The 23,846-nt window shown below is 38.2% G+C and overlaps 1 long non-coding RNA gene across 1 annotated transcript in view, besides 2 other annotated features; it reads left to right on the top strand.

The window, feature by feature from the left end:
* The window catches only part of DYNLRB2-AS1 (DYNLRB2 antisense RNA 1), a 407,178-nt gene that overhangs the window by 23,120 nt on the left and 360,212 nt on the right, over positions 1 to 23,846 (top strand). The window contains exon 2 of the long non-coding RNA NR_120307.1: positions 11,230 to 11,374. This is a non-coding gene — a long non-coding RNA (DYNLRB2 antisense RNA 1). The remainder of the gene's footprint in view (positions 1 to 11,229; positions 11,375 to 23,846) is intronic.
* Positions 12,444 to 12,533: a silencer, noted in NCBI's record as "silent region_7742". NCBI's record gives its function as "represses an Ori minimal core promoter by ATAC-STARR-seq in GM12878 lymphoblastoid cells {active_cell/tissue: GM12878}" and the evidence as "EXISTENCE:reporter gene assay evidence [ECO:0000049][PMID:35858748]".
* Positions 12,564 to 12,613: a silencer, noted in NCBI's record as "silent region_7741". NCBI's record gives its function as "represses an Ori minimal core promoter by ATAC-STARR-seq in GM12878 lymphoblastoid cells {active_cell/tissue: GM12878}" and the evidence as "EXISTENCE:reporter gene assay evidence [ECO:0000049][PMID:35858748]".

The following is a 23,846-nucleotide window of genomic DNA, read 5'->3' as shown; positions in this document are numbered from 1 at the left end:
AGCAGGAAAATTTTATGGCTGGAGTCGTGTTATGACTTCCTGAGGTTAGAGGAGGACAAATATTGATTACAAAATACAAGCTGTAAGTTGGGAATGCATCTTCATAGGGATCATGCCATAACAACTTCCTGTAATACCGATTCTGTTTGTGCATCCATTTCCAGAAAGTAGTCTCACACTGAACAAGGCATACATCGTGCTAGGAATGTCAACTGGATTCTGAATGGTCCATGTTAGGGGTGCTCTGGGACAGTTTTGAACTCATTGGCAGGCTTGGACTCGATGATCCATTTCAACTCCACATCTGTCATTTTATTATATTAACTACAGAAATACTCTGAGAAACTGTAGTTCTGCTCTAATTTTTGTTGAGGTGTGGGTGATTCTGATCACTGTAGTTCTCTCCTTTTTTTCCCTCCAAGAAATCTGTATATCTCAGCCAGTTCACTATTACTAGCCAAAGAATCCCGCTTGACTCTCAACACCTGGTACTCCAACAAAGTTGCTTTGGAAAGGACTGCTATAGCTGTGGGGAAGGAGTCTGAGTCTGGTGTGTGCGTGTGCGTGTGCATTTGTGTGCTTGTGTGTGTATGCATGCATGTGTGTACAGATCTGGCTCTTACCTGATTGACTATAGCTACCATTTTGCAGTAATACAAATAATAGGTCTTTACAGAAATACTGGCTGAGTTGAATGAAGAGTGATTCTTGGGTTCTCTGGGTGTTTCTGATCAAGGAGATTCCACTTGATTGTGTAGCCGTTTGTTTTTCTTACAAAAATCAGTGACAGTGCACCATGTCTGATATGTCAATCAGCTTTAATGAAGGAACCAACTGCATATGCATGGAGTGTGAATTTCCTTGTTTCTGGAGTCAGGATGTCAAGCTCATTCAATAGCTGACAGCTGTAATTAGAGCAAAGAACGATTCTAGCATAAAACGCACTGACGGGAGAACCCAACTGCTGAAAAAGAAATAAGAAGTAGCCAAACTGACTTCCAACCAACAGTCAAGTTTGACTCTGTGCACAGAAAATCAATGAGGAGAACTTGAGCCATTTCCCCTTTATCAATTTTTCACTTCTAATTATTCCTTGGAGGTAGCTCGGTTTAATTTTCATGCCTTTTTTGGACCTGTAATGAATATCCAGAGCTGTGCTATATAAAGTGTCTTTGCAATGTCTTACATGTTTCCTACTCCATCCCCAATATATGTGAATTCCCCTTTTACCCTCTCCTCTTTCTCCCATCCCCTCGGCCTTTCTTTTTGACTCACAATAAGTGCTAAATAACTTTGAACGTAAGTGAAAATATTAGTGAATAATAGTTTTTGCAAGTACTCTGACTTAACCCCAAAAGTGATACATGCAGAGACCAAGTCCACTATTTTTCACATATGATTTTGTTAGAAGGAGATGATTTTCTTCTGGGAGTCTCTCTTGCTGTTTGATACTTTGCTACTGCTCTCTGGTTAGCTTGAAGAAATCCAGATAACTTAATGATCTTGAGTTTTTTTTTTGGTATTTTCTATACCAACCCATATAGCTATCTTTGGCATTCTTGGCAGTTGGCAAATATTATGAACTGGGCTGTAGAATAAATTTTGTGCCCATTTTCTCATAAGGTAAGGCATTGTTTGTCACTTACCAGAACTTCTCCTGGTATTCTACTGGTTTCCCTCCAGAAAATAGACACTACATTCTTCTAACATGTTCACAGGCCAGGCATGGTGGCTTTCATCTGTAACCCCAGTGTTTTGGGAGCTGAGGCAGGAGGATTGCTTAAGGCCGGTAGTTTGAGAACAGCCTGGGCAACAAAGCAAGACATAATTTCTACTAAAAATCAAAAAAAAAAAAAAAAAAAGGCTGGGCGTGGTGGTATATGCCTGTATTCCCAGCTACTTGGGAGGCTGAGGCAAGAGGATCACTTGAGGCTGGGAGTTTGAGGTTGCAGTGAGCCACAGTTACACCACTCTCACTAGCCTGGGTGACAGAGTGAGACTTGTCTCAAATAAAAAAAGTACAATAAAATAATAAAATAAAATACTCCTTAATACTAGGGCATAATTAGAAGATACCAGTAATATCAATAAGTATTTCCTAAAACTGACCCAATGTCATAGAATTGCAGTATTATAGATTTTAAGTTTCAGAAAATCAATCATTTTCTTCTTCTTAGGACAAAGGCACCCTCTGGGGTGACTCCTTTCAAGACCTAAGTGTAATAGAAGTATTTGCTTTCCATAAGGGAATCCTTCCTGTTGAAATTAAGTGTTTTCCTAGAGCACAGGATTTGGAGTTGTATGCATGTGGGGTTGACATTTCTAGGCATATTTCCTTCAATAAAAAAAACAGCATCAGCTTCTTCATTTATAAAGTAAGAAAGATAGTATCTACCTTAGAAGGTTGAGATGCGAGGTTTAAATATTATGTGGGTGAAATGTCTGGCTCATACCAGGTGACCAGTGTGGATCATTTAACCATGTTTCTTTCTTCTGTCTTTTCTTTGGTCCATCTTTCCTCCTTCCCTGCATTCCTTCCCTCCTCTCTCCCTCCTTCTCATCTTTTCTCTAACCTTTCCTCCCCATTTCCTTCCCCCATTTCCATCTTGTCTCCCTTCTTCACTATCCTCTCCTCAACCTCTCTTCCTTCTTACCCTCCCTAGGAAAAATTTCTGTAATTCATATTGTTGACGTTGTCACTAAAGAACATCTTTCCCTTTCTCTTTGTAGACAACCTGTTATTAATTTAGAACTTTCATCTGTTTCATCTACCTCTAATCCCATTTTAACATAATTCCCATTTTTATACTTCTAGCTCCAGCAAGCAGTTCCCATCTTGGTGTACTGCACATCATAGGTATTCTCAGTATCTTATGGTTGAGGGTAAACCGTAAATATTTCCTGGTCGATTAACTTTGTTCAAAGAAGAAGAAAGGAAGGCCTGAGGGGAGCAATAAAATGTCATGCTCTTTATGTACCTCTCCTTTTCTCAGATAATCCAGTCTTGAGGTCTCTGATCTATTTAGTTTCAAAATTACTTTGGGAAGTATAACACATAAAAAAGTAAGGTGCACAAAACAAATGTACAGGGGGTGAGTTACCATGAAGTGAACACCTAAGCCCCCAAACCAGGTTAAAATAAATAGAACACTGTTCACACCCAAGAAACTTCTACTTGGCCAGTCCCAATCATTATTCCCACTCTGCCTGCAAATTTAGTTGTCTGACTTCTAACAGTATAATTTAGTTTGCTTCATTTAAAATTACATAAATGGAATTACCTCGTAGGTAATCTTTTGTTTTGGGCACAATTTTACTCAGCATTGTGTGTATGATAGCCATCTATGTTGTGTGCAGTTGTGGTTTCTTCATTTTTATTGCTGTGTAGTGCTCACTTTTAGAAAACACTACATTTATTTATACTTTTACTGCTGAGAGATATTTTCGTTGTTTCTAGGTTTTGACTATTATGAATAATGCTGCCAAAGCATTCTTTGACATGTCATTTGGTGCACATAGGCATGCGTTTGTTTCAGGTATATATATATGTATATATATATGCAGGAGTGGAATTGCTGAGTCATAGAGTATGATCCATTATCACACACTGTCAAACTGTTTTCCACTGTGGTTGTGCCAGTGTGCCAGTGTACCTCACACTGTAGTGCAAGATAATTTCTTTTGGTCTACAGCCTTGCCAGTAATTAATATTGTCATGCTTTTAGATTTTAGCCATTTTGGTACATGTAAAGTAGTGTCTTATGTGGTTTTAATTTGCATCTCCTTGATTACGGATAAGACTGATCACTTTTTCCCCCACATAATTATTGACTTATATTTTTTGGATTTTGTGTGTATGTGTGTGCGCGTGCATGTGTGTGTGCCCTGTGGTACAAGATTTTTGATGATTATATGTATATGTCTACGTTTACATAAATACCTACAGCTACACCTATATCTATCTATTACAAATCTGTTCTACTCTGTGGCTTACATTTTATTCTCTTAATTGTGTCTCTCAATTGTGCATACCTATATGGATGCTTGGTGTGTAGCAAAAGTGGCGCTGCAGTCCAGTGGGGGAAACGTGTTTTTTTCAATATATGACACTGTGTCAGTATGATATCCATGAGAAAATAAATGAAACATCTTCATTACCTTGGGCTAGGGAAAGCTTTCTTAAACAAGATACCAAAGTACTAATCCCATAAAAGAATTAATTACTGGACTATATAATAATTAAGAAATTAGAGGTGTCTTTGTCCTAATAAGAATAAAATGATTGATTTTCTGAAACTTTATAATACTGCAATTCTATGACTTTGGGTCAGTTATGGGAAATACTTATTGATATCACTGGCACCCTCTAATTATGCCCTAAAAATTACCCAATCTTAGGTATTCCTTTATAGCAACACAAACCAGACTAATACAGGGACCTTATTCTCTGAGCAGAGGGGCATTGGTTTCAAGAGTGTGTGGCAAACTTCACTGTTTTTTTCTGTGTTCTCTTACCACTGGACCTCGACACAGATACAATTACAGAATGTGGCAAAGTTGGGTAAAGTCTCAGCATTCTGGCCTGAGGATTAACAAGAAAAGCCCCAGAGAATTTGAAACTATCAGGGGATTCACAGTGAGGGAATTGCTCAGGAAGGCAACCCCATGAAGTTGTTTTTGGACTCCCAGACTTACCCCTGACTGAGCATATGTGTTTCTGATCCCAGACAATATATCAAAGACTTTGAGAATAGAACTGTGGTATAGACCACTGTGCAAGTCCGAGACTGCTGACTGGGTAGAATAAACATGGGTCAGATCCAATATTTCTTCAAATTCTTGGAAAGTGGAACCTACACTGAAACCATAAGCCACAGAAGGCTGGTCAGAGCTTGGAGCCAGAACCAAATTGGATTGATTTCTGGCAAAAACAAAAATACCAACATTCTTTATGGGATTTAAATAAAACTCAGCATTTCATTACCTAATATTCAAAGTGTTCAGTATACAACCCCAAATCACTTGATATACAAAAGTCCAGAAAAAAACTTTTTTAAGAGAAGGGAATCAATAGACTCTCTTGTGATGTGAGATGACACAGATTTTAGAATTATCTGGCCAAGACTTTAAAATAACTATAATCAAAGTAGTCCAGGAGGTAAGGACAAACGTTCTTGAAACAAATGGAAAGATAGAAAATCTCAGGTAGGAAATAGATGATGTAAATATATGTTGTAAAGAAGGAGCAAATGGAGGTTTTAGAACTGACAAAATAACAAACGAAAACCTCACTGGGTGAGCTAAACAGCAGACTGGAGATGTTAGAGGAAGGAGTCAATGAGCTTGAAAACAGATCAAAAGAAACTATCCAATATGAGCAAAAGAGAGGAAAAGCAAACCCTCAAGGAACTGTGAAAAATCTCCAAAATCTAAGATTTGTCATCAGTGTCTCAGAGGGAGAAGAGAAATAGGGTAGTGCAGAAAAACATTTGAATAGGTAATAGTTAAATTTTAAAAATGTATCTTAAAAGATACAAATCTATAGATTCAAGGAGCTCAGTGAATCCCAAAGAGGATAAACAAAAATGAATTTATATCCAAATACATCATAAGCAAAATGCTAAAATCTGAAGATAAAGAAAAAGTTTGAAAGCAGTCAGAGAAAAATGAAGTATTATTTATAGAGAAATGATTTTGATTTATACAGGCATGATTCCTGGTCATAAACCTTGGAGGGGAACTATCTCTTTAAAGAGCTGAGAGAAAATATTGTCGACCCAATTTTCTATATACAGCAAAAATACCCTTCAGTAATAAAGGGAGAAATAAAGACTTTTTTTTGTTTTGTTTTGTTTTTGAGTCACAGTCTTGCTCTGTCGCCCAGGCTGGAGTGCAGTGGCGTGATGTCGGCTCACTGCAAGCTCCGCCTCCTGGGTTCACGCCATTCTCCTGCCTCAGCCTCCCGAGTAGCTGGGACTACCCGTGCCCGCCACCACGCCCGGCTCATTTTTTGTATTTTTAGTAGAGATGGGGTTTCACCGTGTTAGCCAGGATGGTCTCGATCTCCTGAGCTCGTGATCTGCCTGCCTTGGCCTCCCAAAGTGCTGGGATTAAAGGCATGAGCCACCGTGCTCGACCAAGACATTCTTAGATGAAGGAAATTTAGTGCCAGCAAACATGCACTTAAAAAAACATTAAATGAAGTTCTTAAGACAGAAGTGAAATGATATGAGAGGGAAACATACAACATTAGAAATGAAGGAAGAAGAAACTAAAAATGTAAGTATAATACACTAGCGGTCAGCAAACTATAGCCCATGTACCAAATTCAGCTCACCATCTATTTTGATTAATATAATTTAATTGGAACACAGTTATGCTCATTTGGCTATGTGTTGTTTTGGCTGTTTTCGTTCTATAAGCACAGAGTTGAATAGTTGTGACAGACACTGTATGGTCTGCAAAGCCTAAAATATTTATTATCTGGCCCTTAGCAGAAAAAGTTTGCTGAATCCTGTAATAGACTGTTACTCGCTTGAATTCTCTAAAATGTGTTTGATGGTTGAAAAAGGTTATAGCATTTTTGGGGGTTTTGAAAGAATGTAAATGTAATATGTAAGGTAACTACAAGTAAAGGGAGGGTAAAGAGACTAATCTAAGGGTAAGTTTCCTACATTTCAATTGAAGTGGTCAGGTATTGGTTTTAAGTAGATTGTGACAAATGAGCTATATAATCTCTTGGGCAATCAATAAGAAAAATTACAAACTGATACAGTAAAAAGGTGAAGTAGATAAATTATCATATGAAAAATTGTTTGGGCAACCCAAAAGGGAAAAGGGCAAACAGTAGAATGGTAAATAGATGGAACAATCAAATCCTGATACATCAATAATTACATATATATCACATAAGCAGACTCATTAAAAGATAGAGATTGTCAGCATGAATTAAGAAACCAAAAATGATCAGTGATTTCTGTTTCTGTAAAGATGAAGTAGACATGCTTCTGCCTATTGTTTCCCCTAATTATACCTAATAACTCTGAAGATTATATATACAAACAGAAGAGATTGAGATAACCAGACAGATTGGCTAGGGACCTTGGGATCCAAGGAATGACACGCTCATAAGTTACTTGAGATTTCTTTTTGTCACATATATCCTAGACTAGGATATCTTGCACAAGGAGCTGGCAGACCAGAAATGTCAACAGGCACAGAAAGATTTTAAAAGTCCCAATGAAAGCCTACCTTTTCTACCCAAAGGATCAACAAACATCCAGCCTAAAAAGATGGAAACTCTCAGAAAACAACCACTCGACTCCAGCCAAACACCACAGAAAAAAACCATCAAAGCCCAAGAGGAGAATATAGATTTCCACTCTCATATTGCCATCATTCCCTCCATCCTCTGTGATAGTATTGCCAGAGAAGAATGAGTAGGGAGTTGGGACTTTCGTCCCTGTTGGGTGTTAACTAGTTGCCCTCTCCCCCAGCAGCTTCAGTAAAGATAATGTGGGAACCCATTCTGCCACTTCCACCACACCCTAGCCTGTTAACAATAACATTAAGTATAAATAGTCTAAATACACCAATACAAAGACAGAGGTCATCAGAGAGCATTAGAACAAGCATGACTGAACTATATATCATCTACATGAAACTCATTTAAAAATATAATAATATTGGCAGGCAGAAAATAACAAGATGAAAAAAATGTTGTGTAAACATTAATCCAAAGAAAGTGAGTGACTACATAAATACCAGATAAATAGACTTCAGAGGAAAGAAAATTACCAGAGACAGAGAGAACCATTATACATTGATAAGATGATCAGTCCACCAAGAAGACATAGCAAACCTAAAAATTAAAATGTATGCACAAAACGATAGAGCTGCAAAATATTTAAAGCAAAAGGTGATAGAGTTGAAAGAAGAAACAGACACTTCCTCAATGATAGTTGAATTCAACATCCCTCTGTCAACAATTGATAGAAAAACCAGACAGAAAAATCACCAAGGATAGAGAACTAATATCATCAACCAACAGAATTTAATTGACATTTATAGAACACTCCCACCAACGTCAGTAGAAGACGTATCCTTTTCAAGTGCCCAAAGAACATATACAACAAGATAGGCCACATCCTGGACTGTAAGACAAACCTTAACAAATTTAAAAGAATGGAAATTATACAGAGTGTGTTCTCAGACTACAGTGGATTCAAGATAGAAATCAATAACAGAAAGATAATAGGAATATCTGCAAACACCTGAAAACTAACCAACACATTTCTAAATAATTCTAGTTGAAAGAGGCAGTCTCAAGAGAAATTTTTTAAATACAGTGAACTGAAAGACAATGAAATAAGATGTATCAAATTTGTGGAACCCAACTAAAGCAGTTAGAGGGAAAAATTATACGTGCTCTCATTAGAAAATATGAAAAGTCTTAATCTGAACTCTCACTTCAAGAAACTTGGAAAAGAAAAGCAAAATAAATTGAGTTCATATTTAAAAGTTCCCTGTATTAGTCAGGGTTCTCTAGAGGGACAGAACTAATAGGTTAGATGTATATATAAAGGGGAGTTAATTAAGGAGTATTGAGTCACATCATCCCAAGTTGAGGTCCCACAATAGGCCGTCTGCAAGCTGAGGAGTAAGGCAGCCAGTTGGAGTCCCAAAGCTGAAGAACTAGAGTCTGAAGTTCGAGGGCAGGAAGCATCCAGCATGGGAGAAAGATGTAGGCCAGAAGACTAAACCAGTCTTGTCTTTCGACGTTCTTCTGCTTGCTTTTATTCTGGTGACATTGGCAGCTGATTAGATTGTGCCCACCCAGATTGAGGGTGGGTCTGCTTTTGCCAGTCCACCGACTCAAATGTTAATCTCCTTTGGCAACATCCTCACAGACACACCCAGGAACAATACTTTGCATCCTTCAATCCAATCAAGTTGACACTCAATATTAACCATTACAAGTCCACCCATTGTCAACTTGAACCCATATACATCTCCTAAAATCATACATAATCTTCAAATAAAGACAGAAATAAGGTCATAATTATGCCTAACATAATCATAAATGTGCCTAACAGCTATCCTTTGTACAACTGGAAACACATCAATCCCCAACTCAAATGCTGTTACATAAAGTTAACAATACTTAAATGCTGATATGAAGTCAATAAATCTTACATCACATGATAAAGGAAAAAGAAATAAAATGAGTATGAAGAAAGGTATTTTCTTAGTATAAGTATACATATGCACAAACATGTTCTTAACAAAATAAGAAGGAAATATTTATGACAATTACAGTCCTCGTTTTTAGCAACTGGTCACGTGGTCATAGCTGGTATTGGTGACCAACGGACCAAAACATTCCCCAAAAGAAATCTCCACTGGGGACTCACTAAATAATTCCACCAAATATATGAAGAAGAATTAACATCGTTTCTGTACAATCTCTTTCAGAAAACAGAAGAAGGGGGATAACTTCCCAATTCATTTCATGATTTTATAAAGTTAGCATTACCCTGGTCTTCAAATCAGATAAAGACAGTACACACACTGAAAAAGAAAGAAAAAGAAAAGAAAAGTGTGGTGGTGAGAGTTTGAGAGTTCTTAGACTTGGCACCAAAAATACAATTCATAAAAGGAAAAATTTATAAATTAGACTTTATCAAAGTTAAAACTTTTGCTCTTCAAGAGACCATCTTAAGAGAATAACAGACAAGCTGCAGACTGGGAGCAAATATTTGCACATCATGTGTCTGACTAAGGACTAGTATCTGGGATAATTAAGGAACTCTCAAAACTTAACAGTAAAAACAACAAAAACAGCAGCAACAACAACAACATGATCCAGTTCGAAAATGGGCAAAAGACAGGTAGAAACTTTCCACTGAAGAAGATATACAGATGGTAAATAAGCACCCCAAAAGATACTCAGCATCGTTAGCCATTGGGGTGGTGCCAATTAAAATGGTGGGAGTGTTCTATAAATGTCAATTAAATTCTGTTGCATGATGATATTGTTAAGTTCTCTATCGTTGGTGATTTTTCTGTCTGGTTTTTCTATCAATTGTTGAGAAAGGGATGTTGAATTCTTCACCTATCATCAAGGATGTGTCTGTTTCTTCTTTCAGTTCTATCACTTTTTGCTTTAAATATTTTGCAGCTCTATCTTTTCGTGCATACATTGCAGTTGTACTATGTGTGGTTTTCTTTGTATTTATCCTGCTTGGGGTTTGTTGTGTTTCTTGAAAAATGTGACTTGATGTCTTTTGTCTGGGAAAATTCTCATGCTGTGTGTTGCCAGTTTTCAGTAATTAAAAATGTGCTTTTATGAATGAATAAAGGCTACGAGTCTTTTCTAAGAGAGTCGACTGAGACATGTTTACTTACCATGTTCTGCATGTATATTTTCATCTATACAATTGTAAGTATGAAAAAAAAACAGAGCAACTGTATGTGCCATTTTCCTTGTATTTCACTCTAAATGATCACTAACTGGTTCTCATGCTCAGGATCCACTGATCATCATTTAACATATGCTGGGCCAATTTTTCTCTAAATTTTATTTCCTAATTGAAGTAAACATTTGTCAGGGTGAAGACAGTGAAACAATGTCCTCCAATCTTTAAAACCTAAAGGTATTGGATAGTGGATAGTATGGCAGTCTGCTGCTCTTCTATAAACACTAATCTCTTATTTTTTGTTTCCTGGGCATAGTTTTCCAAGCACTTCCATGTGTTCTGTCTCACTTGCCTTATAATGTCCCTTTGAATTTGTCAAGCTTGGCTCCGTTTTGCAGATGTTGTGTCTGAGGCAAAGAAACCAAATGATGGAATAAGGATCCAGAGTGGTAAATCTCATTTCACCCCATTCTGGAACTTTCTCCATGATAGTTCTGCTTCTGTCTTGGAGTGCCTGTTGTATATCCTCCAAGTTATCTAGATGGCTCTATGCTATTCTCATTCCAAAATATAGCCTGTCATGGACACGATAAGTGGCCGAGCAAGAAACAAGGCTGAGCTCCCTTGTCCTCCTTCTGTGTTGTTCTGCCAACTGCATACAAGAGAGAAGAGGACATTGTTACCTGACTGGCAAAAGGAAGGAGTTACATCTCCTTCCCAGGGAGGATGCTGCCTTGTAATGTCACACCAGACATTCCAGCATGATCCGATCCCTTTTGTAAATCTATTTGGTTGACTTCTTCTCTTGCAGCTGACTCAGAAATTGGAATGAGTTGTCTGTGGATCCTGTAAGGAGCCTGGACATGGTGAAGAGAATGCCTTGACCATCAGGAGACAGCTTAGCTTGTTGAATCTTGATCACTTCTTCTGACCGCTTTGGATCTTAAAAGAACAAGGTAAGAGTGGAAGCAAAATGGTGGATGCTGAGGCACATGCTTGGAAGGCAAATAAATGGAGACTATGAATAGAACATTAGAGTCCCTCCCAAGATAAAGCAGACTTATATGGGACAGTCATTCCTTCTACTATATAAATATATATATATATATATATATATATATATATATATATATATATTTTTTTTTTTTTTTTTTTTTTTTTTTTTTTGAGATGGAGTCTCGCTCTGTTTCCCAGTCCGGAGTGCAGTGGCATGATCTCGGCTCACTGCAACCTCCGCCTCCCGGATTCATGCCATTCTCCTGCCTCAGCCTCCCGAGTAGCTGGGACTACGGGCGCCCCCCACCATGCCAGGCTAATTTTTTGTATTTTTAGTAGAGATGGGGTTTCACCGTGTTAGGCAGGATGGTCTTGATCTCCTGACCTCGTGATCCCCCTGTCTCGGCCTCCCAAAGTGCTGGGATTACAGGTGTGAGCCACCGCGCCCGGCCTCCTTCAACAATATTGATGGAATATTTGAGGCAGAATCGTGGGGGTGAAGGGAATACAACCATAAATAAGATAAAAATATCCCTTGCTTGCACGGTGCCTACAGTCTTGTGGGGGATATGGTTAATGAACAAACAGTTGCAAAACTGCACACAAAGTTTCCCAGTGGGAGAAGTTTAGGTTGCAAATGGTGCACGTAGAAGGTCATCCTAACCCAGCATGAGGTGATCCTAGAAGGAATCCTGGACTGGTGCTATCTAAGCTGAGATCCAAAGGAGGCTCGGACACTAGTTAGGTCAGTAGGTGTAGGGGTGGAACAGAGGGAAAAGCAGGTGCAAGAAAAGTCTGATGTTTCAAAAAACTAAAGTTACTGCAGTTTGATGTGACTTCAGCTATGACTTTAGCATACAGATTGGGGAAAAAACTTCTCTAGGCAAAACCTAGTATTATTTTGGTAAACTGTGCTCAAGTGCCTTACCTGAAATTCAGAGCATGCGCATGAATGGACCTGCCGCCTTTCCTTTACTAGTGTGCTCAGGTAGGAACCCCAGCTTCATATATGGAGGCCAGAAAGTACAGGTTAAGGCAGACTTCTGCATTTGCTGCACTGACTGGCAAAATACTGACTCAGCACCCCCGCCTCACTGAGGCAGACAGCGCCCTCAAGTGGAAATGAAGATGAGCGGTACTTTGTGCCTCATTAGCCCCAATTTGTATATGCAGTAAATGTGCTGTTTTGTTTTGTTATGTTTTGTTTTTGTTTTTGTTTTTGCCATTCCCCTGTGAAGCTGCAGTCAGCTGATGGTCAGCAAAGTCTGCTGAAATTCTGAAACCAAATAATATAAGGAGTGTTTTCATTTCTATGAAGAGCTGATTTGTTTTATTATCTAAATTTTAATCCAAGGAAGTTTTCAGGTTGAGAGGTTGAGAAAAATTATAAAAGATAACAGAAGAAAGGATGGGAAATAATAAAAAAGAAAAATGTTTTGTCATTTCTCTTTCAATTCCATCTCCAGAACATTAGTTCAGCTTTGGCTAGTGGAAGGGAACTAGTAAGTGGATCTTCTGATATAAACAATGTTAACAATGGAAAGTTAATTTCTTCTCAACATCTCTAACTACACTTTGGGCAGTAGCTCAGGAACATAACTCTGAAGTGCTATCAAATGTGCAGTCGGCCTGGGCACTCATGTGTTTGGGATCAAGACAGAATAAGGAGGTGTGTGTTAGAGAGAGGATGCCTGTGTCTCACGTTGTAATGTCCCAAGACCTGGGCTGCTCCCGTAGTTGCCCAGTTTCATCTCCTATGCCAGGGGGAAAATTGACATCTTTTGCCAAACTACATTGTGATTTTGAGGTTATTCAATTTCATTTAGCTATTTTGTAAATATTTCAAGATTTAAGAATATGCTGAATAGAATTAAAATGCTTTCGGTGACAGAAGGTGCTGAAATGGAGTAGCTACTGCTCTTTGTCTCTAAGTAAGAAGGCAAGTTTGGGGAAATGACCTGTGTTACTCCTCACAGGCCTCTAGGTGGTGCTGCTGTGACAGCTATTGGCTTTACCGTTTCTTTTTAGCGCTTAACTATCAAACCAAATATTTAACTTATTAAATCTCTTACACTTATGGTTAATTGCTAATATAATACTATTGATAATTTATACCATCACATTTACATTAGATTCTCCTAATAATGAGCCTATATTCATAAATTGCACAACAGAGTAATTTTAAGGGTTGGAATAAATGTAGGTCTCTGGTTATTAATTAATAAAGTCAAAAACTTTCACGTGTGGCTGAATTTTTCCACATACATTAAAACTAACTACATAATTAGCTTTTCCTTACCTCTACTTGCATTGGGTAAAATAGTACTTCGTACACAGTAGGAGCCAAATTAATGTTTATTAAAGGACTTAATTCTTTTTTGAGTTTCCCTTTCTACTATTCATTGAGGATGAGATAACTACTGGATTAAGTTTTTTAAAACGCTGGTCAGACATTGCTGCTTATCTCGGCTAATAACAACAACGGGAGGCCATTTTTTCTTTATTTCTGAAAATGGCCTGAAGAATATCTATAAAATCACTTCTTTATTTTAAAAGCAAATTGGTTTTTGAGGTTGGTTCTATTGAAATGCAAGAATGGTATGAAAAAGAGCGTTTGATAATTGCTCAAATCTTAATCAAGATTTTATTAAAATCAATATTTGATGGGCTGCTCAATTTAATTAAATTAAACCACAGAGAAATGAGGAATAAATGAGCTTGAAAATCAATCACAGGATGAGGTATGTTTCTTTTTGTTAGTTTAATATATGAAATGTTGTGTTAAGCAATTGCTGACCATGGGAGAAGCAAACAAAATCACCACTTCGCTTTAGACAACATGAGCCCACATTTTGTGCCAGGCACTGTGCTAAACACAGTCTACATGTGCCTTAATTAATTTTGAAACAAAATCCCGTGAGGTCGGTCTCCTCAGTTTATGATTCAGGCCTAGGTGTGAGCCAGGATGGCTGTTCCAGGTCATTCCATTGATAAATGGCAGAGTTAGCTGTAAATATAATGACCAAGCCTTTCCTACTACCTCAAATTGTTCACAAACAGGAAGAAAAAGCGCAGTTAATGATTAAGTTTAGAGAAGGGCATTGGTGATAATTTTCTTCCTTAAAAAAGTGTAGCTTTATAGGTAAGTAATTAGAGGGGGCAGGGGACCCAAATTAAAAAGCGTGAGTGTTGACTTAGAAGCTCTGAGTCCCAAGATGGCAAAAAACAGGAGGGAGGTGGGAGGTGTTATTTTTCTGGATAGACATATAATATAGTTATTTGCCATATAATTTATGCTTATTGAGAGTGGCAGAGATTTATGGTGTTAGTAACAAAGTGTTTTAATTGGGATTAGCTAATGAAAAAGTGGCAGAACTGGCAAGGGAGAAGGTAGGAAAATGTGATTTGAGCTGAGGTGTTTCTTCTCATGGGATGCTAACAAAAGAGTTAGTGTTACGCACCGGGGCAAGAATCATACTTTTAATTAGGCTTTCAGAGTTTGTGCTTGCATTCTTGGTTCTAAGGAGTCTTAGTCACCCAAAGAATCAACTCTAGGAAAGTAACGATATTCTCGTTAAATATCACTGGCAATGAGAATGAAATTGCAGCTTCCTAAAAATAAAAAAACTCCCTCATTTTTATTCACTGCTTCTTTGGTGCGATGGAAATTAAAGATCAACAACAATCACACCCACACAATTGTGCAGCTTCCCTACACTCCAGGCTGAGAAGAATTTGTTTCTCAAGCCACTGCTTCCTAAACTTTAGTCATTCATGTTTCATGTTTATAATTTTTGCTATCTCCCTGCACCTCTTATATTACTTAAAATTTTTATTAAAAATGGCTCATTAAAAAATTAAAATTAAGTACATTTATTTTAGAAAAAATACGTAAGTGGGAAGCTAGAGTCACTTGCCCTAAGAAGGGTATTTGTGAAAAGAAACAATGAAATCAAAACAGTGTTATTGAATTTTAACTTCAGGGAAGTGTCCAGAGGTCGTAAAGACATACTTTCACCACACTGAGACTTCTTTGATCATAACTGAGCCATAAAAGAAAAGACTTGAAAAGGGAATAATTGTCTCATTATGTGAATCACTTTTTATCCAACAGTGTATCTATTTGCCATCTAAAATTACATTTTCTAATCAAAGCTTCATCCTCCAAACATATGTCTTTGTTTGCTGGTCATAGGAATCTCTCACCCCTCACCTTTTTAACTCTCCAACTTCCAACTTCTCCCAGTAGTATTTAAATCTCGCCTTCTACCCATCTAATTCCATTTACCTTATGTCTAAACATTTAGAGGATCCTGTTAAGCAAACACATTGGAGATGGAGGCCGATTACAAAATGAGCTTCTATTATTGGTTAATACAACTTTTCTTCATATATGCTGTTTGAGATCATGTTTTCTCTAATAAGATATGATACATTTCCAACTGTAATAAAAGTCTGTCTCTTTACTACTCCTGACCTTAATACACCCCCTTACCCTTCTTGAGGCAACAACCGCTGGCTGTTATCCTGTTTCATATATTCTTCCAGAGATAGTTTGTGTATGTGCAAGTCTACTTGAATCTATACGACTCTCCCGAAATTTCACACACGGAAGCACACTCTGCATGTCATGCTACACTTCATTTTTTTAAACGCAACAATTTTTTTAGTATATAGTTTCATATTAGTATATACAGCACTAGTCTCTTCTTTTGAATACTGTATAGAGGTATTCTATGCATGTACCCAATTCCCCTTTGATGGACACTTGGTTATTACTCTTTCTTCTACAAACAATGCTGCAATATCCTTGTGTAATTATCTTTGGGCCCATAATGACCATTAAGAAATAAATACATCTAATGCTGAGCAGTGCTCACTGAAATGGATGGAATTCTAATTATTAGAATTGGACAGGGCAGACACAATTGTATCTCTTTCATGAGTACTGGTTTTCTCTTCATTTTTTTTCACCCATAATATTAATTTGTATTTGTTGTGGCGCCCTGCACATTACCAAGCATTCCGATTTCCACATGAAGTTATAGGCTCTGAGTTATGCTTGTTACATTTGTCTAATACTATTAATTCTTCTTCCTCATGATCTCTTTTGAAATTAGTTGTATAATTTCATGCTTAATTCCTCTCTCTAGTAGTGGATGAAAAGCTCCATGAGGCTGGAAAAGGACTATAGTTGTCTTGGGCACTGCTGTGTCTCTGTCACCTAGTGAGCATCTGATATACCATAGTTCTTTGGTAAACATTCACAGATGAAGGAATGAAAAACATATGCATTGAATTTCGTTTGTTTGCTTGTTATAGACTGAATTTATCTCCCCACCCCTGAACCCATATGTTGAAGCTCAAACCCCCAGTGTGACTGGATTTGGAGAGAGGGCCTTTAAGGAAATAATAAAGGTTAAACGAGATCATATGGGTGGGGCTTTAATCCAGTAGGACTGGTGTCCTTATAAAAAGGGGAAGAGATGCCAGAGATCTGTATTCCTCCACCATATGAGGACGCAGTGAGTAGGTGTCCATCTACAGGCTAAGAAGAGAGGCCTCACCAGAAACCAACTTGCCAGCACCTTGATGTTGAACTTCTAGCCTCCAGAACTATGAGAAAATAAATTTCTGTTATTTAAGCTACCCAATCTGTGGTATTCTGCTATAGCAGCATTAGCAGACTAATACACTACTAAATACCCCAAAAGGCTAATATAGGTATTGAACGACTAAATGGATAAAATGTACATTACAAGTAGAAAAAATTAGGTCTCACCTTATACTCACTGGGCATTACTCATTGACTAAGGTTATTGTGGAGCTGAGGATGGCTTTGTGTTCTTTGCATTTTTTTCTCCACATTTGTTCCTGCATTTCTGGTGACAGAGATGCTGGCATCTAACCTATCCTCACAATTAAGCATCGTTGCATGTAATATTTTGAAAACCAGGCATCTGACTTCTTAATTCAGAACAACTGCTGGAAATATGGGGGCCATTTTTTTTCTTAACTTCTATTTTAGGCTCACGGGTACATGTGCAGGATGTGCAGCTTTGTTATGTAGGTAAATGTGTGTCATGGGGGTTGATTGTACAGATTATTTCATCACCCGGGTTATAAGCCTTATATCCATTAATTATTTTTCCTGCTTCTCTCCCTCTTCCCAACCTCCACCCTCTGACAGGCCCCAGTGTGTGTTGTTCCCCTCTATGTGGGGGACCATTCTTAGTATGGAAAGTTGACAACACAATCCTTTTGTAGATAGGGAACTTTATTTTGATTGGGATGTGCTGGAGGGTTGCCTTTCTCCTGGTGTTAGCATTTGGTATGAATGGCTCTCCTTCTAGCTACTTGTCATGGTGGGGAGATAGCCTTATTGATTGACAAGACTTCCCATAGTATTATGGCAATATCCTGACTTCCTCTAGTTCATTCTTCATGTATTCATTCATTCATCTACTTTCTCAAGATATGCTCGTAAGGTGCCTCATTCTTGTAACTGCTGGAGATATGATGATGACACAGATTCTGTCTTCAAGAAGTCCGTAAAAAAGTGGGAAAAAGATGTGACTGCAGATAAAGACTATGCGAAGGACTCTCTACACAAGGCATTTGCTTAAGTGCCGAAGGGCCTAGAAGAGAGAGTGACCAGTGTCCAAAACCCTTTGTGAATTGAATTCACATACAGTGCCTGATTTGATTCTCAGAGCACCCAGTTGGCTGGTTTTTGGTGGTTTTTTAAAGTATCGTAAGACAAATGCTCCAGTTGCCAGCAAGTTCTACTTCATCATGCTATTATAGGCTTCTGTGAATAGGAAAAATACACCACCATCAAGAAGCAAGCAGCTTGCTTGTGTTTCAGAGGAACCACCTGTGGAAGAATGTTTTCTTGTATTAAAACTGGTATTGCCATGTTCCATTCTAGAATGTCCAAGTGCCACCCTTCTGAAGGTGTTTAGTTCAAGAGTTTCCATTTTCATATTAAGTTTCTATCTCCATACCTAGTGGGATGAAGATGGTGGTGTATGGATTTTCTCTCTTACAACATTTTTTGTCCCTTATCTATACATCTTTCCCCTAAATATTCAGTAAGATTTGAAGCTGTTAAAAAATCCTAAACTTCTCCAACTGTAGGAAAGATAACTGGAATATTATTTTAAGAGCAAATACATGTACATTCCTAATGTTGCTCGAATGGGAATTATCAAGAAGAAGAAGAAGAAGAAGAAAAAAAAAAAAGGAAAACAAACCCATGAGAGTTTGGGTTGCTATTTCTGACCAAGTTTGAATTGGGAAATACCAGGAGTCCCATAGGAAATCTTATCTCACCGGAAGACGATCATGGTCTCTTGGCCAAAGAATGGGTATGCATTTTTGTGTAAATAAAACTTGCAGACTCAGACAGAGGGCTGGTCTACCTTGCAGCTTAGCATGCCATTTATTATCATTCACAAGGTGGTGTTAGATGCTCAGCTTTAAAAAGAAATGACTTTTCAGCAGTATTTTTACCCTTGAGAGTATATAGGGAGAGCTCTGTGTTGTATGTTAATCAGAGCTTTCACAACTTGCTTTGAATGGTCTTTGAAATGTGTCTGGAAGAAGAGTGAATGAACTATGCCCAAAGTGTGCTCTATTATTTATTACTCAGGAGCCTTTCCATCTGAGACATAGGCTGAAATTAAAGGCACCAAGTACCTGTCTTTACTAACTCAATGTTCTTACAATTTCCGTTCCCTGTGTACTCATGCCACCTGCAAAGGATTCCAGGATTTGATGCTTCATCAGACTCAGTTTTTTTTTTTTTTTTTTTTTTTTTTTTTTTTTTTTTGAGACGGAGTCTCACTCTGTCGCCCAGGCTGAAGTGCTGGAGTGCAGTGGCGCGATCTCAGCTCACTGCAAGCTCCGCCTCCCGGGTTCACGCCATTGTCCTGCCTCAGCCTCCCGAGTAGCTGAGACTACAGGCACCCGCCACCACGCCCGGCTAATTTTTTGTATTTTTAGTAGAGATGGGGTTTCACCGTGTTAGCCAGATGGTCTCGATCTCCTGAGCTCCTGATCTGCCCGTCTCGGCCTCCCAAAGTGCTAGGATTACAGGCGTGAGCCACCACGGCAGGCCAAGCGTCAGTTTTTTAATGAAAATTGTATTTTAATATCTGTATTTTAAAATGCCCCACTCCTTCTGTGGATGTACAGGTCTCAGAGCACACCATGCTTTGCAAACAGTTAGCAAACATGCTTGGGAGCCGTTCCTCCTAAACTCATTTCTCTCCCTTTTCTCAGATGGGAAACTCTTACTTATCCTACAAAACCTAGTTCAAATGTTACTTCCTCATGTACCCTCCCTGACTGTCCCAGGCAGTTAGTTGACTAACTGTGCCCCGTTATCCTTTCCATATACCTTTATCACATGCATTCTCAATGCAGGTAATATTGCCCCCAAGGGGCACCGACTGGTTATTTGGAGAGGGGAATAAAAAGATTATTTTTATGTATAAAATGTAGATATATGTAATACATAAACAGATACACAGTATATAAAATTTCATGGTAGGAAGAGATTAGGAAAAAGATATCTAAAATGGCTCTTCTGGTGGTAATCATGAAAAAAGGTTGGGAAATACCTGCTTTATCATAGTATTTGCCTCTTGTATGGCAGTTGACACTGTGTATTAGACTGTGTATCTCTTACAAGTTAGAAAACCATGGTTTTGAAGCCTCAGCCCCTAGCACGTAGTTGGCGTGTGTATTAGCATTCACTAGTTATTAATATCTACTTGAAGGACATAATGATTGAGATGTTTGCTTCCAAGCATGATTGCTGCACACCAGAAACTCCTGCAAAAATTGTTTTTAATGTCACTTGCTGGGATCTAACTCCAGAAATTCTACCTCAGTGGATCTGGAGTAGGGACTGGTTCTATGTATTTTTAAACACTACCCAGGTGATGGGATTTAGAAATTGTTGCTCCAGCCCGATAATTTTTTTTCTTTTCTTTTGAAAATGTCTCCATTTATAAAAACCAAAACCAAAATCAAAATAGGTGTTTTATTCATGTGTTGGTATTTCCTGTGCTGGTCAGACCACAGAACACCGGTTTCCAATCAGGAAACCATTTTCTAAAGGAACATCAGCAGGCTCAGGCATTTCCAGAAAAGCTCAATGACATGAGCTTTTCTATTTGGTGAGAATTTTAGACCAGAGGATTATGTGAATGTGGCAAGCAGCATGGTCTGGCTTTGTGGGGTGGCTTAACCCCAGGAAGTTCCTGGGCAGGGTTTCTTTTGCTAACCTGCTGGGCAAAATGGACAGATATGAAAGGTGAGGTCGTTTTGTGATTGAATGAATGTCTAGGGACTGGTTAATGGATGCATGAGAGGGCGATTTCTACTGGCAAGACCTGAATTCTTTCTTTAGTCCTGTCCTGGAAAAAAAAATCATTTTAGTGATTTGAATGGCTCTGTGGGAGACACATTTATTAAATCTATGGATTGCACATACCAAAGAGGAGTAACAAATGCATAGAAACGCAATTCTTCAGCAACTACTCAGTAGGTTAGATCAGAGGTTCTCAACCCTTTTAGACCCAACACCCTCTTTATATGAAATATTTTGAAGTGCCACTTTCATTATTGTGAACTGAATGTCTCAGCCACCTAGACATGTAATTTCCAAACTTTAATATAAAGCCCTAAATGTAGTATAAAGGAGAAATAAAGGGCATTAAAAAATAAAATCACACTAGGAAATAATGACACACGATTGGTTCTGCCATAATACTTGTTTTGGAAATGCAAATTAATTATAGCACGACTGATACAGGAAGGAACAAATAAACATTTCCGTTTGCTTATGCATGATTTCTTTCATGAGCAACACGAGGTGAACAGAGGAAACTGCAGCCAGCTGAGTCCACTTGCATACGACTCAAACATCTCCCAGCAACCTCAGTTTTTTGCATGTGGTGAGTCGTACCCATCTGCAGCTGGTGTTACACCCTTTCTTCTCATTCAGACAACTCTTCTTTCCACAGAAAGGTGCAGCCTCTGAGTGACTCTCCACAGTAACTCACAAGCTGTACGTTTCCATGGCCCACAGGTACACAAGCAAACTTTTGGTCTTTTTCAAGGTAAAGTACCATGTGCGTTGTAGTACTTATATATTTCTTAACCATTTAACATCTGTAAAACCATGCAACCATTTTTATTTGTTTCTTTAAATGTGTCAATATTGAAGTTTTTGAATGTTATGCCGTGTGATTTTGCATAGCGAAGTGATTTGTAGGAATGCATATATTATATTATATCAGAACTGATTGTACTTAGATGCTTGCCTCTGATGTAATGAATTAGTTTGAATTTAAGAGAAAACAATATTCAATTGAATATTGTTGACACTTTTTCTTTATATTTGACATTTTGAAATAAAAATTTAACAGGTATATTATTAATGGTAAAAACTGCAATTACTTTTGTACCAACCTAATAGGACCTATGCATAGAATTATCTTAGTGGAGCAGCTCAAATGTGGATCAAAGCAGTTGAGCTACTCTGGTGACTCATATACCAGTATTGCCACTGTTGTAAATGTGTGATTTTTCTAAATGATGAATAACTTCTGAAGTTCTGAGCAAAACAAAGTATACTTTTCCCTTCATTTACACAGCGGTCGCTTTCCTGGAGAATTCATTTACATTAGCCCCATGCAAAAAATACCTATATTAATAAGTAAAATGAAATCAGCTTCTGGTCATTTTTATACATATGTATAGGGATTGGCATGTGGGAATGGGAAGTGAGACAGTTCTCTTATCCACTATGCAATATCCAAGCCCCTGCTCACTAAATGCCACAGTGTCCCCTCCCCCTTATGTGACAACCCAAACTGCCCCCACATATTTCCAGCATGTCCTCTGGTGAACCATTGGCCTGTAGCAATGGACTTCTAAGCTATAATTAGGATCAACATAAATTTCTTAGGTTAAGAAAATAACTTCAGAAAACAGAATGGAGAGAATGATTAAGCACAAGAAAGGCTAAGAAGAGTTCAGAGACTTTTGTGGACGGCAAATGAAGTATTAGTAAATAATGTTAAGAGACCTAATGTCCTCAGGCTGATTGGAAGAAGTACAATAACTGGATCAGTGCTGTCTAATAGAAATACAATGTGAATACGTACGTAATATTAAATTTTCTAGTAAGCAAATTAAAAAAGATAAGAAATAGGCGAATTGACTTGAATATATTTTATTTAAAACAACATACAGAAAATATTATTGTTTTGAGATGTAATGGATATAAAAAGTGTATTAATGAGATCCTTAATTTTTTTTTTCTTCACTAAGTCTTTCAAAATCCGGGAGTATTTGCTCACAGTATAGCTCACATTTCAAGTGCCCATGGGTTCTGTCTTGCTCCTGAGCAAGTCTTATTTGGTTATCACAGCACTTACAAATGGAATTCTGTGTTTTCTAGGATGCTGCTGAGGGTGGGATGAGAAGTCCCAACTCAAACTGTCTTAAACAATGAAACATTTGTTCTCATACAGAAATTAAAGTTAGGGTACGCTCTAGGACTGGTTGGTTCAGCGATTCGTGGCATCATCAAGGATGCAGGTGCCTTCCATGTTTCCATCCTGATTTTCTCAATGCGGGTCCTGCTCCTCAGGGTTGTAAGGTGGTGGCCAGTGGCAAGATGGCGGCTCATGCTTCTTTGTTTGTGTCCAACAGCAGGGATGAAGACATTTTTCCCTAAAATATGAAATATCCATTCTTTCTTTCAGACATATTGGGCAAACATGCCATGTCTCGACTGACTTACACAAATCATCTGGGTCAGAATATTGGATCCCTTCTTGTGATTGATGCAAGAATGGCTTTGGCTGGACATTTTCTTTTCATTTACTCACCATGAGGCACACTATTTCTTGTTGTCTTGTACTTGCTTTCTTTATTCAGTTACTCTACGTTTCTGTCCCTGGAAGTGTTTGAGTTTGTGGCTGCCTCTTAAACACAGGCTCCAATCATTGTTGACGGAGCCACACATGCAACATTGCATTAAATTTTGATGTGAGAGGATTTAAGAGAATGAGAGGAGGTTTAAAGGAGAGAGCTAAAGTGAAAAGGGAATTGACATCATGTCGTATGAGGAAAGTCGAAGGGAATGGCCTTGTAAACCTATGAGAAGTGGAGGGCTTGTGGGTGGGATAGAATACCCTCATCTTATCGATGAGGGTATGTCTACTTGTAGCAGTTCTGTGCTCCCATCAAATTAGCTGCTTCAGCCAGGCGTGGTGGCTCATGCCTGTAATCCCAGCACTTTGGGAGGCTCAGGCGGGCAAATCACTTGAGGTCAGGAGTTCGAGACCAGTCTGGCCAACATGGTGAAACCCCTCTCTACTAAAAATATCAAAATTAGCTGGGAGTGGT

This window comes from Homo sapiens, chromosome 16, assembly GCF_000001405.40.
Source record: "Homo sapiens chromosome 16, GRCh38.p14 Primary Assembly".
NCBI lineage: Eukaryota > Metazoa > Chordata > Mammalia > Primates > Hominidae > Homo > Homo sapiens.
The sequence above is the reverse complement of the archived record's forward strand: the minus strand, read 5'-3'. Positions and strand labels throughout refer to the sequence as shown.